The 15,530-nt window shown below is 50.1% G+C and overlaps 1 protein-coding gene and 1 pseudogene across 1 annotated transcript; both read right to left on the bottom strand.

The window, feature by feature from the left end:
- Positions 1-338: 338 nt before the first annotated feature.
- Positions 339-1,607, bottom strand: GPR32 (G protein-coupled receptor 32). Its single transcript, NM_001506.2, has one exon. It carries the CDS (start codon positions 1,468-1,470, stop codon positions 400-402), a length of 1,071 nt encoding a protein of 356 aa, NP_001497.1. The 5' UTR covers positions 1,471-1,607; the 3' UTR covers positions 339-399.
- Positions 12,570-13,838, bottom strand: GPR32P1 (GPR32 pseudogene 1; annotated as a pseudogene).

Below are 15,530 nucleotides of genomic sequence, written 5' to 3'. Positions count from 1 at the left end.
CATCCTGGCCAACGTGGTTAAACCCCGTCTCTACTAAAAAATATACAAAAATTATCTGGGCGTGGTGGCACGTGCCTGTAATCCCAGCTACTCGGGAGGCTGAGGCAGAATTGCTTGAACCAGAAAGTCAGAGGTTGCAGTGAGCCGAGATCGCGCCACTGCAGTCCAGCCTGGTGACAGAGCAAGACTCTATCTCAAAAAAAAAAGGGGGGGGGGGCGGGGAAGAATGGACACTGGGGAGTAAGTAGCTGTCTCTACCACAGAGCTTTAGATGAGGGGTTGCTGGAAGACTTCCTGAAAGAAGAGGCAGGATTTGGCAGGGTTTTAGAAGCCAGTCAAGGTAAGAGGCCACAAGCAAACTAAGAAGGACGGCTTCCAGCTTCCAGCTGAAGTCTTCCATCATTCCCGGGGGGCGTTGCCACGGGGACAGGATGACAGAAACTCCTCCTCTCCAAACGCCCTCGCCAGGGCAGAAGTCAAAGACTGGAAAAACTTTTCTTGGAAATCTCTGCCAACGAAGACGTAGAGGAAGGGGTTGAGGCTGCTGTTGACACAGCCCAAGGCAAAGCTAGCCTGGAGGATGAGCAGCATCCGGGGGTGGTAGATTTCCTTGAGCATCACCCGTCGCCACAGATGGACCAACAGCACCACGTTAAACGGGGACCAGAAGATAAAGAAAGCGCTCACCAGCACCAGCAGCAGCCTCTTGGGCCGGTTGGCATGGACCCAGCCCTCCCGCAAGAGCTTGGCCCGGATGAGGTGGGCGCAGGTGCCTATGATTGCTAAGGGCCCCAGGAAGCCCAGCAGGAAGTGGCCAATGGTCCCTATAATGTGTCCCTCCACGACCCCTTCAATCCAAATCTGGGCAGTCTCATTGTCAGAGTTGAACGCCAAGTAGCAGTGCGTACAGCCATTCCATTTTCTGGTTGTCCGGAATTTCAGGTGCGCAGAGCACAAGGCGGCGGCCAGGAGCCACACCCCAAAGGCCAGCCAGCTCGCCCGCTGCACAGTGCGGTGGTTCAGGGCCCAGACGGGGTAGAGGACAGAGATGCAACGGTCCACAGAGATGAAGACAAGGAGGCAGTTACTGGCAAAGTAGCTGAGGAACACAAAGGTGATGTAGAGTTTGCAGGCCCACTCTCCGAGGAGCCACTGCCTGGAGACAATATAGTACATGGCAATGGGCAGAGACAGTGAGAGCATGAAATCGGCAAGGGCCAGGTGGAAGAAGCAGACGGTGGAGACCGTGCGTGCCATACGGAAGACAGTCATCCACAGCACCAGCCCATTGCCCAGCACTCCGACGACAATGGACGCAGACAGGATAACCACAGTCAGTGGGCGGAGGGACCCCACCTCCTCAGACAGGCATCCGGAAGAGTTCATCTTCCTGGAACAAGAGCGATCACGTGTCAGGACCCCAGGTTGCCTGTCACTGCAGCCTCTGGTCCCCTCCGAGACCCCATTCATGATTTCTCCATTCCATAATTTTTATGGAATGCTTATTATTATTATTCTTTTAGAGACAGCGTCATGCTCTGTCACCCAGGCTGGAGTGCAAAGGTACAATCACAGATCACTGCAGCCTCCACCTCCTAGGCTCAAGAGATCCTCCCCCCTCAGCCTCCTGGAGTAGCTGGGACTACAGGCACTTACCACCATGCCTGGCTAATTTTTTTACCTTTTTTTTTTTTTTTTTTTTTTGACACAGAGTCTTGCTCTCTCTGTCACCCAGGCTGTAGTGCAATGGTATGATCTCGGCTCACTGCAACCTCCACCTCCAAGGTTCAAGCAATTTTCCTGCCTCAGCCTCCCAAGTAGCTGGAACTACAGGCACATGCCACCACACCTGGCTAATTTTTCTGTTTTTAGTAGAGACAGGGTTTTACCATGTTGGCCAGGCTGGTCTTGAACTACTGACCTCGTGACCCGTCCACCAGCCTCCCAAAGTGCTGGGATTATAGGTGTGAGCCACTCTGCCAGGCCTTAAATTCTTTTTTGTAGAGATGGGGTTTTGCTGTGTTGCCCAGGCTGGTCTTGAACTCCTGGCTTCAAGTGATCCTCCCACCTCAGCCTCCCAAAGTGCTGGGATTACAAGTGTGAGCCATTGAGCCCAGCCTGAATGCTTTTTATGACACAATAATATTGTTCTTTTTTTTTTTTTTTTTTTGAGACAGAGTCTCCTTATGTCACCCAGGCTGCAGTGCAATGGCACGATCTCGGCTCACTGGACACTATAATATTGTTCTAAGTACTGGACATAACTCGTGTAACAAAACAAGCCCTCATGGAACTTACATCCCAGTGAGAGATGTCAGGTGTAATACATATAATAAATTTACTTCATGATATACTGCTTTAGAAGACTACAAGTGTTATGGAAAAATAATAAATGAAATGGAGGGGCCAGGTGTGGTGGCTCATGCTTGTAATCACAACACTTTGGGAGGCTGAGGCAGAAGGATTGCTTGAAGCCAGGAGTTCCAAACCAAGGTGGGCAACATAGTGAGACCGTCTCTACAAAAAATAAATAATTACAAGTTTTTGTGGCCATGCACAGTGGCTCACGCCTGTAATCCCAGCACTTTGGGAGGCTGAGGTAGGCGGATCACCTGAGGTCAGGAGTTCGAGATCAGCCTGCCCAGCATGGCGAAACCCCGTCTCTACTAAAAATACAAAAAACATTAGCTGGGTGTGGTGGCAGCCACCTGTAATCCCAGCTACTCATGAGGCTGAAGAATCACTTAAACTTGGGAGGCGGAGGTTGCAGTGAATCAAGATCGCGCCACTGCACTCCAGCCTGGGTAACGAGAGCGAAACTCCGTCTCAAAAAAATAAAAATAAAATAAAATTTAAAAATTAGCCGTGAGATGGGCGTAGTGGCTCATTCCTGTAATCCCAGCACTTTGGGAGGCTGAGGCTGGTGGATCACTTAAGTTCAGGAGTTCGAGACCAGCCTGGCCAACATGGCAAAAGCCTGTCTCTACTAAAAATACAAAAATTAGCCAGGCTTGGTGGTGCGTGCCTGTAATCCCAGCTACTCTGAAGGCTGAGGCAGGAGAGTCCCTTGAACCTGGGAGGCAGGGGCTGCAGTGAGCCAAGATCGTGCCACTTCATTCCAGCCCAGGCAACAGAGCAAGACTCTGTCTCAAAAAAAAAAAAAAAAAAAATTAGTCAGGTATGGTGGCACGTGCCTGTAGTCCCAGCAAATTGGGAGACTGAGACACGAGGGTCACTTGAGCCCTGGAATTCGAGGCTGCAATGAGCCATGGTCACGCCATTTCACTTCAGCCTGGGTGATAAAGCGAGACCCTGTCTCAATAAAAATAAAGTAAAAATAATGAGATGGAGGTTCTTTTAACTTTGGATAATGTCAGAGTAACTTTGTCAGACAAATGGTGCCACAGACAAAAAAAAAATTAAAATCTGGACAAAATATTAAAAATTACTCCACTATTTGAAAAAATTGGCAGCAGAAAAGTCTGTCAATCCAGAATTTTATATTCTGTGAAAATATCTTTCAAAAATGAAAGTGAAAAAAGGGCATTTTCAGATAAGCCAGATCTGAAATAATATATGGCCTACAGACCGCAGGAATTGCTTAAGGAAGTAAGTCCTCTAGGCTGAAAGGAGTTAATATCACATGGTGACACATATTGACAGGAAGAAATGAAGATCATGAAATGTTTTCTTTAGAAAAAGATCAAGGTAAGGCCAAGCGCAGTGGTTCACATCCGTAATCCCAGCACACTGGGAGGCCGAGGTGAGCAGATCACTTGAAGTCAGGAGTTCGAGACCAGCCTGGCCAACAAGGCAAAACCCCGTCACTAATAAAAATAAAAAAATTAGCCAGGTGCGGTGGCACACACCTGTGATCGCAGGCATTTGGGAGGCTGAGGCAGGAGAATCGCTTGAATCTGGGAAGCTGGAGGTTGTGGTGAGCCGAGATCAGGCCACTGCACTCCAGCCTGGGTGACAGAGTGAGTCTCTGTCACCAAAAAAAAAAAAAAAAAAAAAAAATCAAGATAAGGACAACTGGGAATGTGAAGGATGAGACAGAAAGGGGCCACTGGTACATTAAACAGGGTGGTCAGGGAAGACCCCGATAAGAATGTAACATTTGTCCATGCTCAGTGGCTCATGCCTGTAATCCCAGCACTTTGGGAGGCTGAGAGGTGCGGATCACGAGGTCAGGAGTTCGAGACCAGCCTGGCCAACATGGTGAAACCCCGTCTCTACTAAAGATACAAAGAATTAGCTGGGCGTGGAGGCTCCCACCTGTAATCCCAGCTACTCAGAGGGCTGGGGCAGGAGAATCACTTGAACCTGGGAGGCAGAGGTTGCAGTGAGCCGAGATCACACCATTGCACTCGAGCCTAGGCAACAGGGTGAGACTCCATGTCAAAAAAAAAAAAAAAGAATATAACATTTGAGCAAAGATTTGGAGGAGATAACAAAGTAGTGAGGCACATACGTATCTGGAGGAAGAGCCCTTCAGGCAGAACCAGCAGCTTGTGCAAAGTCCTGAGGCAGGACGGTGCCTGGAATGCTCAAGGAACAGCAGGGAGGCCGGTGTGGCTGGAGCCACGTGGGCAATGGGAAGAGAGGTAAGAGGTGAAGGCAGAGAGGGAAGCGGGCAGATGGAGCAGGACCCTGTGAGTCATAGTGCAGACTCTCCTGGCCTTTCCTGTGAGTGAGATGGGAGTTACAAGAGACTGTTGAGCAGAGAAGGAACAATATCTGACTTAGGTCTTAACAATCACTGTGACTTTAAGGTTGAGACTAGACTGAGGGGGTGGGATGGAAGCAGGAGGCCGGGAGGAAGCTGCTGCAGTAACCCAGGTGGGCAGTGATGGGGATGGGGACCAGGGTGATGTCAGAGGAGGGGGTGGGAAGCAGATTCCAGGGTCAAGGTGGAGCTGGCTAGATTTGCTGCTGGGCTGGATGTGTGAGGTGAGAGGGAGAGCAGTGTCGGGGTGACTGCAGGACTTTTGAACCGATGGAAGCTGGAGTTGCTGTGCACTGGGATAGGGGAGACGGCAGGAGAGCAGGTTTGGGGTAAGACCAGGAGCTCGGGGTTGGTCACTTCGCCTTTGAAATGCCTGTAAGGCATCCCGGGGAAACTTCACTAAGGCAGCTGGATACCAGCAGCAAGATTACAGGAGGGGACCCGGCATGGTGGCTCACGCCTGTAATCCCAGCACTTATTGGAAGGCCGAGGCGGGTGGATCACCTGAGGTCAGGAGTTTGAGACCAGCCTGGCCAACATGGCAAAACCCCGTCTCTACTAAAAATACAAAAATTAGCTGGGTGTGGTGGCACGTGGCTGTAATCCCAGCTACTCGGGAGGCTGAGGCAGGAGAATTCGTTGAACCCAGGAGATGGAGGTTGCAATGAGGCAAGATGGCGCCACTGCCCTCCAGCCTAGGTCACGGAGTAAGACTCAAAAAAAAAAAAATTACAGAGGGGTTTCTGGCTGGATACGGGCATGTCGAAGTCGTTAGAATTTAGATGCCAGCCGGGCACAGTGGCTCACCTCTGTAGTCCCAGCACTTTGGGAGGCAGAGGCAGGAAGATTGCGTGAGCCTGGGCAACACAACATGACCTTGCCTCTACAAAAAAAAAAACAAAAAACATTTAGATGCTATTTACGTCTTTGAGCCTGAGAATGTCCTCCAAGGGTGAGGTGCAGACAGAGAAGAGAGGTCTGGGGTTGAGGAAAGCTTGAGCTTACACAGCAGACAGGCATAAGTCGAAGCTCTAGTTGAGACACTGGATTATGACTGTGTGATCTTGGGCTCAGGGCTTCCCCTGCACCCCGAGCCTCACTATGCTCATCTGAGATAGGGGTGTAGAATCCTTGAATACCTCTCTCTCCTACTCCCTCAACACGCACACCCAATTCATCAAAAAGCCCTGTCAATTTTGCCTCCAAAAAGCCTCTTGCCTCTGTCCACTATGTCCTGTCTCCATAGCCCTATCACCCAAGCACACAGGGCCCCAGCTTTTTTTTTTTTTTTTTTTTGAGACAGGATCTCGCTCTGTTGCCCGAGCTGGAGTGCAGTGGTACAATCTTGGTTCACTGCAACCTCTGCCTCTCGGATTCAAGCAATTCTCCTGCCTCAGCCTCCTAAGTAGTATAGTTGAGACGCACCCCAGGGACACGCCTGGCTATTTTTTGTATTTTTAGTAGCGACGGGGTTTCACCATGTTGGCCAGGCTGGTCTTGAACTCCTGACCTCGGGTGATTCACGCACCTCGGCCTCCCAAAGTGTGGGGAGTACAGGCGTGAGCCACCGTGCCTGGACTCCAGCTTTATATTTATCTCCTACCAGCCACTCACCACCCTACAGCCAGAGTGATGCTTTGAAAGCCCAAACCTTGTAACCCCAGCGCTGTGGGAGACCCAAGCAGGAGAATTACTTGAGGCCAGGGCTTCAAGACCAGTCTAGGCGGCAAGGCGAAACCCTGTCTCTACAAAATAAAAATAAATTAGCTAAACAGGGTGGCTTGCATTGTAGTTCCAGCTACCCAGGAGGCTGAGGCATGAGGATCACTTGAGCTCAGGAGGTCGAGGCTGCAGTGAGCCATGACTGTGCCACTGCACTCCAGCCTGGGCAACAGAGTGAGACCCTGTCTCAAAAAAAAAAAAATACAGTTCAAACTGGAAAATTACACTGTGGCTCTTCATTGCTTGTGGGATAAATATGAGTCTCCCCGACACCGCTGGTGAGGGCTGGGGCACCTGCTGGCCTCTCCAGACTTCTCTTGCACCTTCCCCCTCTTTGTGCACCAAATCCCGGCTTCCCTACCTTTGTGTCCATTGCCAAGATTCTCGTCTCCCTCCCACCCAGGGCCTTTGCATGTGCTGCCCCTCTGCCTGGAGCACCCTTTCTTTCCTCTGCTTTTTTTTTTTTTTTAACTCCTTCCTGAGATCTCAGTGCAAATTTCACTTTCTCCCCAAAGCTTTTCCCAGCCACCTTGATGAATCAGGCCCTCCTATAGGACCTTCTCTCCTATGAAGACATGGTTACAGGCTGGGCATGGTGGGTCACGCCTGTAATCCCAGGACTTTGGGAGGCTGAGGTGGGAGGATCGCCTGAGGTCAGGAGTTCAAGACCAGCCTGGCCAACATGGTGAAATCCTGTCTCTACTAAAAATACAAAAATTAGCCGGGTAAGGTGGCACACGCCTGTAATCCCAGCTACTTGGGAGGCTGAGGCAGGAGATATTGCTTGAACCCGGGAGGCAGAGGTTGGAGTGAGCCATGATCGTGCCACTGCACTCCAGCCTGGGTGACAGAGCAAGACTCTGATCTCCCCTCAACCAAAAAAAAAAAAAAAAAAAGAGCTAGTTACAGGCAGCAGCAATTAGACCGTTTGTTTGGTCATTTGGTGATCACCCATCTGCATTATTCATCTCTGGGTTCCCTAGAGGCGAGGCTGGTGTGTGGCTTGCTCCTGGCCCCTGGAACACAGCAGGCACTTGGTAAATAATGGATGAGTGATCATTAAGGAGGACAATCTCTCCTTTGTCATCTGAGGATGGATTCATTCATTTAGTGTAAAATTATGCATTGAGCCCAAATCGTACGCCATACACTATCCTAAGCGCTGGGGATACCGCAGTGATGAAGACAGTCAAATACCTCTGATCAGGCACAGTTCACGCATATGGCATGAGAACATTCCTCACCCAGAGGAGGTGGCCCAGAACTTTCAGCCCCTTTTTGCCACCTCTTTTTGTTTTGTTTTGTTTTGTTTTGAGACAGAGTCTCACTCTATTGCCTAGGCTGGAGTGCAGTGGCACAATCTCAGCTCACTGCAACCTCCGCCTCCCAGGTTCAAGCGATTCTCCTGCCTCAGCCTCCTGAGTAATTGAGAGTACAGGCACCTGCCACCATACCCAGCTAATTTTTGTATTTTTAGTAAAGACGGGGTTTCACCATGTTGGCCAGGCTGGTCTCCAACTCTTGACCTCAGGTGATCCACCTGCCTCAGCCTCCCAAACTGCTGGGATTTCAGGGATGAGCGGCCGCACCCAGCCCGCCAGCTCCTTTTTGTATACCCTGGAAAGTGCCCTTCAACTCTCTTAGTCCCCAAGCTCCTACCTCCTGGCTCCCTGAGATCCTCCCAACAAATCCCAGTCCCCTGTCACCTTGTGCTGTGTCCGAGGATGAAAGCAAGATGAGGGGGCTTTCTCTGCTCCGTCGTCAGTCCCAGGCAACCGCCAGCCTTGAGCCCACGTTAAAGGTAGGGGGCTGATGGCAGGAAGCTAGCTGTGAGTTTTGGAGCAGATAAATGTCCAGGAAAGAACCTTGAGCAAGAGCTTCAGAGATCGCTATCAGTCCGGGAAATGTCACCAGATGTGGGCCCTAATAATAGGCCCCAGGGGCTGCAGGCTTGGGGCATAAGGAGGAGGCGGGTGACAGGGAGGTCTTTCCGCAAGGCCATTCCAATTCTCCTCTGCCCTCCTTGTGCTAATGAAATTTGTTAAGAGATACAAAACACTTAAAACTTCTTGCGGCCGGGCTCGGTGGCTCACGCCTGTGATCCCAGCACTTTGGGAGGCCAAGGCGGGTGGATTACCTGAGACAAGGAGTTCAAGACCAGCCTGGCCAACATGGCGAAACCCTGTCTCTACTAAAAATACAAAAATTAGCCAGACATCAGGGTGGGTGCCTGTAATCCCAGCTACTTGGGAGGCTGAGGCAGGAGAATCGCTTAAATCTGAGAAGCGGAGGTTGCAGCGAGTCGAGATTGAGCTACCGCACTCCAGCCTGGGCGACAGTGAGAATAATCAAAAACAAAAACAAAGCAAACACAGAACAAAACAAAAAAAACTTCTTGGCACATAGTAGGCGCTCAGGCATTGTTAGCTCTCTATTGTTAATACTGCTCTCATTATTATTATTATTACTTTTTGTTTTTGAGATGGAGTCTCGCTCTGTCACCCAGGCTGGAGTGCAGTGGCGCGATCTTGGCTCACTGCAAGCTCCGCCTCCCGGATTCATGCTATTCTCCTGCCTCAGCCTCCGGAGTAGCTGAGACTACAGGCGCCCGCCACCATGCCCGGCTAATTTTTTGTAATTTTTAGTAAAGATGGGGTTTCACCGTGTTAGCCAGGATGGTCTCGATCTCCTGACCTCATGATCCACCCTCCTCGGCCTCCCAAAGTGCTGGGATTATAACTGTGAGCCACCATGTCCTGCCTGTTGCCATGGACTAGTATGACGTACTGTACACAGTTGTATGTGCTATGCTTTTATACGACTGGCGGTCAAGTAGGTCTGTGTACACCAGCATCAGCACAAACATTAGAGTAACGCCTTGAGCTACTCCATTAGGACAGCTACAACATCACCGGGCAACTGCAGTCTTTCAGCTCCATTATAATCGGTGGGGCCGCTGTCGGACGTGCAGTCTGTCATTGACAGAAACCTCGTTATGCTGTGCATGGCTTTATTTCCTCAGGAGAATACTGTGGCCTCACGGGTAACATTTCACTGACTCTAAGACACATCATGTCAACAGGTGTCACCAGAAAGACAAGACACCGCCTAAAAAATACAATCCAATGCTTTTTTAATTTTCTTTTTATTTTTCTTTTTTGAGTCGGAGTCTTGCTCTGTCACCCAGGCTGGAGAGCAATGGTGCGACCTCGCCTCACTGCAACCTCCGCCTCCTGGGTTCAAGCAATTCTCCTGCCTCAGCCTCCCGAGTAGCTGGGATTACAGGCATGTGCCACCACGCCCGGCTAATTTTGTATTTTTAGTAGAGATGGGGTTTCTCCATATTGGTCAGGCTGGTCTCGAACTCCCGACCTCAGGTGATCCGCCCACCTTGGCCTCCCAAAGTGCTGGGATTACAGGCTTGAGTCACCCTGCCCGGCCCAGGAGTTAATTTTTTTTAAGGTGACTCTGTGCTTCCTGGCACTCAGTCACTGTGTCATTTAATCCTCTCCTCATCCAGAAGATGGAAACATTTGTTCCTATTTTATAGATTTGGGGGCAAATGAGTCTCTGAGAGGTGGAGTTCTCATGGCAAGTCATAGATGCTTTTTTTTTTTTTTTTTTTTTTTGAGAAAGAGTCTCTGTCACCCAACCTGCAGTACAGTGACGAGCTCTTGGCTCACTGCAACGTCTGTCTCCCAGGTTCAAGCGATTCTCCTTCCTCTGTCTCTGGAGTAGCTGAGACTACAGGTGCCTGCCACCACGTCTGGCTAATTTTTGTATGTTTCATAGAGAAGGGGTTTCACCATGTTGGCCAGACTGGTCTCAAACTCCTGACCTCAAGTGATCCGCCTACTTCAGCCTCCCAAAGTGATGAAATTACAGGCATGAGCCACCCCACCTGGGCAGATTTACTTCTTTGAATCATGAGCAAGTGGTGTGACAGCTTCTGGATTGCATGACATTTTTCTTTTGCCTCGACTTAAGAGCCAAGGGAATGGCCTGTTGTGACCAGGGACCACTGGGACTTCAATCCCCAGAAAGGACTATTCTTCACATGCACCAGTTTGTTTTTTTGGGGGGGTTTTAAGTAACAGAAAACCTGACTCCAACTGGCTTCAACAATAAGGAAATTTATTAAGTCACTTTACACAAGTTCCAGAGTTTGGCAGCATAATTAATAGTTAAGGGGTAGATTCAGCTGTTGCAGGAGAGACACAAAATAACAGTGGCTTCAATGAGCTGGAATTTGAAACCTCCCCTTTCACAACCTGGGTGTAAGCATCTCAGGGCTGGCCTAGGGACTCCCTGGGTACACGGTAGCTTTGCATCAGGGCTGCTGTGGCAGATTACACAAATGGCCCCCGTTCTGCACACCTTCCTGCATACGTGCTCCTTAGCAATGTCACTCTTTAGATTTTCCCATCAAGGGGTGGAGTCCTTTCCTCACACCTCGAATCTAAGCCAGGCTCGTGACTTGCTTTTTGACCAGTAGCTTGAGTGCTAGTCACCTTGTGCAAAGTTCTGAGCCTCCGCCTCATACTTTCCTTACTCTTGGAACCCTCCCCAACCATCAAACGAAAAAGCCAGCCTGCAGGATGATAAGAGCTATGTGGATTAGCCAATCCCATCACCCCAAGCCAGCCACTCTCCCAGAAGCAGAATCACTTAGGTGACCCACAGATGCATAAAGAAACCCAGACGCAAGATGAGAAAACTACTGAGCTGAGCCCAGCCCAAACTGCTGATCCACAGAAATCATAAAAGGTTATGAAGCCAGGTGTGGTGGCTCACGTCTATAATCCCAACACTTTGGGAGGCTGAGGCAGGAGGATTGCTTGAGGCCAGGAGTTTGAGACCAGCCTGGGCAACATAGCAAGACTCCATCTCTACAAAAACTTTTTTAAAAAAATTAGCCAGGTGGGCTGGGCGCAGTGGCTCACGCCTGTAATCCCAGCATTTTGGGAGGCTGAGGCGGGCAGATCACGAGGTCAGGAGATACAGACCATCCTGGCTAACATGGTGAAACCCCGTCTCTACTAAAAAAAATGCAAAAAATTAGCCGGGCATGGTGGCGGGCGCCTGTAGTCCCAGCTACTCGGGAGGCTGAGGCAGGAGAATGGCGTGAACCCGGGAGGCGGAGCTTGCAGTGAGCTGAGATGGCGCCACTGCACTCCAGCCTGGGCAACAAAGTGAGATTCCGTCTCAAGAAAAAAAAAAAAAAATTAGCTGGGCACAGTGGGGTATGCCTGTAATCCCAGCTACTCAGGAGGCTGAAGTGAGAGGACTACTTGAGCCTGGGAGATTGAGGTGGTGGTGAGCTATGATCACACCACTGCACTCCAACCTGGGCAACAGAACAAGACACTATAAAAAAAATGGTTATGTTTTTAAGCCTCTAAACTTTGATGGTGTTTGTTGCGCAACAAGAGCTAACTGGTATGCCTGCATTCTGGACAATAGAAAGGGGGAGATGGGGAAATGGAGGACAGGCCTCTTCCATTTAATGGCTCTTCAAGGAAGTTACATTGATTGCTGCCACTTACATTTTATTGGCCAGAAGCAGTCACATGGCTGTACGACATGCAAAGGATTCTGGGAAATGTAGTCTTTTTTTTCTTTTCTAGTTAAGCATGTGCCTCGTTTGAAACAAACAGGAGTCTTACTACAAGCAAAGGGGAGGCCAGGCGCTGTGGCTCACACCTGTAATCCCAGCATTTTGGGGGGCCAAGGCTGGAGGATCATTTGAACTCAGGAGCTTGAGACCATCCTGGGCAAAATGATGAAACCCCATCTCTACAAATTAGCCAGGCTTGGTGGCACATGCCTGTAGTCCCAGCTATTTGGGGGTGGGGGGCGGGGGTGCTGAGGCAGGAGGATGGCTTGAGCCCTGGAGGTCAAGGCTGCAGTGAGCCAAGACTGTGCCACTGCGCTCCAGCCTGGGTGACAAAATAAGACTCTGTCTCCAAAAAATAAAAAAGGAAAAAGATAAAAAGAAAGGGAAGAATGGACACTGGGGAGTAAGTAGCTGTCTCTACCACAGAGCTTTAGATGAGGGGTTGCCGGAAGACTTCCTGAAAGAAGAGGCAGGATTTGGCAGGGTTTTAGAAGCCAGTCAAGGTAAGAGGCCACAAGCAAACTAAGAAGGACGGCTTCCAGCTTCCAGCTGAAGTCTTCCATCATTCCCGGGGGGCGTTGCCACGGGGACGGGATGACAGAAACTCCTCCTCTCCAAACGCCCTCGCCAGGGCAGAAGTCAAAGACTGGAAAAACTTTTCTTGGAAATCTCTGCCAACGAAGACGTAGAGGAACGGGTTGAGGCAGTTGTTGACACAGCCCAAGGCAAAGCTAGCCTGGAGGATGAGCAGCATCTGGGGGTGGTAGAATTCCTTGAGCATCACCCGTCGCCACAGATGGACCAACAGCATCACGTTAAATGGGAACCAGCAGATAAAGCGCTCACCAGCACCAGCAGCAGCCTCTTGGGCCGGTTGGCATGGACCCAGCCCTCCCGCAAGAGCTTGGCCCGGATGAGGTGGGCGCAGGTGCCTATGATTGCTAAGGGCCCCAGGAAGCCCAGCAGGAAGTGGGCCATGATCACCGCCATTTGTCTCCCAAAGACCTCCTGAGTCCACATCTGGGCAGTCTCATTCTCCAAGTTGAACTGTAAGTAGCACTGCATACAGCCATTCCATTTTCTGGTTGTCCGGAATTTCAGGTGCGCAGAGCACAAGGCGGCGGCCAGGAGCCACACCCCGAAGGCCAGCCAGCTCGCCCTCTGCTCAGTGCGGTGGTTCAGGGCCCAGACGGGGTAGAGGACAGAGATGCAACGGTCCACAGAGATGAGGACCAGGAGGCAGTTACTGGTGGAGAAGGTGAGGAACACAAAACCGGTGTAGAGTTTGCAGGCCCACTCTCCAAGGAGCCACTGCCTGGAGACAATATAGTACACGAGGATGGGCAGAGACAGTGAGAGCATGAAATCGGCAAGGGCCAGGTGGAAGAAGCAGACGGTGGAGACTGTGCGGGCCATGCGGAAGACAGTCACCCACGGCACCAGCCCATTGCCCAGCACTCCGACGACAAAGGAGGCAGACAGGACAGCCATGGTTAGAGGGCGGAGGGACCCCACTTCCTCAGACAGGCATCTGGAAGCATTCATCTTCCTGGAACAGGAATGACCCTGTGTCAGGGCCCCAGGTTGCCTGTCACTGCAGCCCCTGGTCCCCTCCGAGACCCCACTGATGATTTATTTCTCCATTTGATACTTTTTATGGAATGATTATTATTATTATTCTTTTTGAGACAGGGTCACATTCTGTCACCCAGGCTGGAGTGCAATGGTACAATCATAGATCACTGCAGCCTCCACTTCCTAGGCTCAAGAGATCCTCCCACCTCAGCTTCCTGGAGTAGCTGGGACTACAGGCACTTACCACCATGCCTGGCTAATTTTTTTAATTTTTTTTATTTATTTATTTTTTTTGAGATGCAGTCTTGCTCTGTCTCCCAGGCTGGAGTGCAGTGGCCTGATCTCGGCTCACTGCAACCTCCACCTACCAGGTTCAAGCAATTCTCCCGCCTCAGCCTCCCAAGTAGCTGGAACTACATGCACACGCCACCACGCCTGGCTAATTTTTGTGTTTTTAGTAGAGACGGGGTTTTATGATTTTGGCCAGGCTGGTCTCCAACTCCTGACCTCATGATCCACCCACCTCAGCCTCCAAAATGCTAGGATTGCAGGTGTGAGCCACTGTGCCTAGCCTTAGTTTTCTTTTCTGTAGAGATGGGGTCTTGCTGTGTTGCCCAGGCTACTCTTCAACTATTGGCTTCAAGTGATCCTCCCACCTTGGCCTCCCAGAGTGCTGGGATTACAAGTGTGAGACATTGAGCACAGCCTGAATGCTTTTTATGACCCAATAATACTGTTCTTTTTTCTTTCTTTCTTTCTTTTTTTTTTTTTTTTTGAGACACAGTCTTGCTGTGTCACCCAGGCTGCAGTGCAATGGCACGATCTCGGCTCACTGGACACAATAATATTGCTCTAAGTACCAGAGATAACTCATGTAACAAAACAAGCCCTCGTGGAACTTACATCCCAGTGGGAGATGTCAGGTATAATACATATAATAAATTAATTCATGATATACTGCTTTAGAAGATTGCCAAGTGTTATGGAAAAATAATAAGTAAAGTGGAGGGGGCCAGGTGTGGAGGGTCATGCCTGTAATCACAGCACTTTGTGAGGCTGAAGCAGAAGGACTGGATGAAGTCAGGAGTTCCAGTCCAAGGTGGCCAACATAGTGAGACCCAGTCTCTATAAAAAATAAATAATTAAAAATTTTTTGGCCGGGTGCAGTGGCTCACGCCTGTAACCCCAACACTTTGGGAGGTCAAGGCAGGCAGATCACCTGAGGTCAGGAGTTCGAGACCAGCCTGCTCAACAGGGCGAAACCCTGTCTCTACTAAAAATACAAAAATTAGCCAGGCATGGTGGTGCACACCTGTAATCCCAGGTATTCGGGAGGCTGAGAATCACTTGAACCTGGGAGGTTGGAGGTTGCAGGGAGCCGAGATCAGGCCACTGCACTCCAGCCTCGGCGACAGAGTGAGACTCCATCTCCAAAAAAAAAAAAAAAAAATCAAGTTAAGGAGAATTGAGAATGTGAGGGACAAGACGGAAAGCAGAAAGGGGACACTGGTACATTAAACGGGGTTGTCAGGGAAGACCTCAATAAGAATATAACATTTGGCCAGGCTCGGTGGCTCATGCCTGTAATCTCAACACTTTGGGATGCCAAGGCGGGAGGATCACCTGAGATTAAGGGTTCAAGACCATCCTGGCCAACGTGGTGAAACCCCGTCTCTACTAAAAACACAAAAAAATTAGCTGGGCGTGGTAGCACACACATGTAATCCCAGCTACTCGGGAGGTTAGGGCAGGAGAATCACTTTAACCCGGGAGGCAGAGGTTGCAGTGAGCCGAGATCACGCCATTGCACTACAGCATGGGAGACAGGGAGAGACTATTACAAAAAAAAAAAAAAAGAATATAACATTTGAGCAAAGTTTTGGAGGA

This window comes from Homo sapiens, chromosome 19 (assembly GCF_000001405.40).
Source record: "Homo sapiens chromosome 19, GRCh38.p14 Primary Assembly".
NCBI lineage: Eukaryota > Metazoa > Chordata > Mammalia > Primates > Hominidae > Homo > Homo sapiens.
The sequence above is the reverse complement of the archived record's forward strand: the minus strand, read 5'-3'. Positions and strand labels throughout refer to the sequence as shown.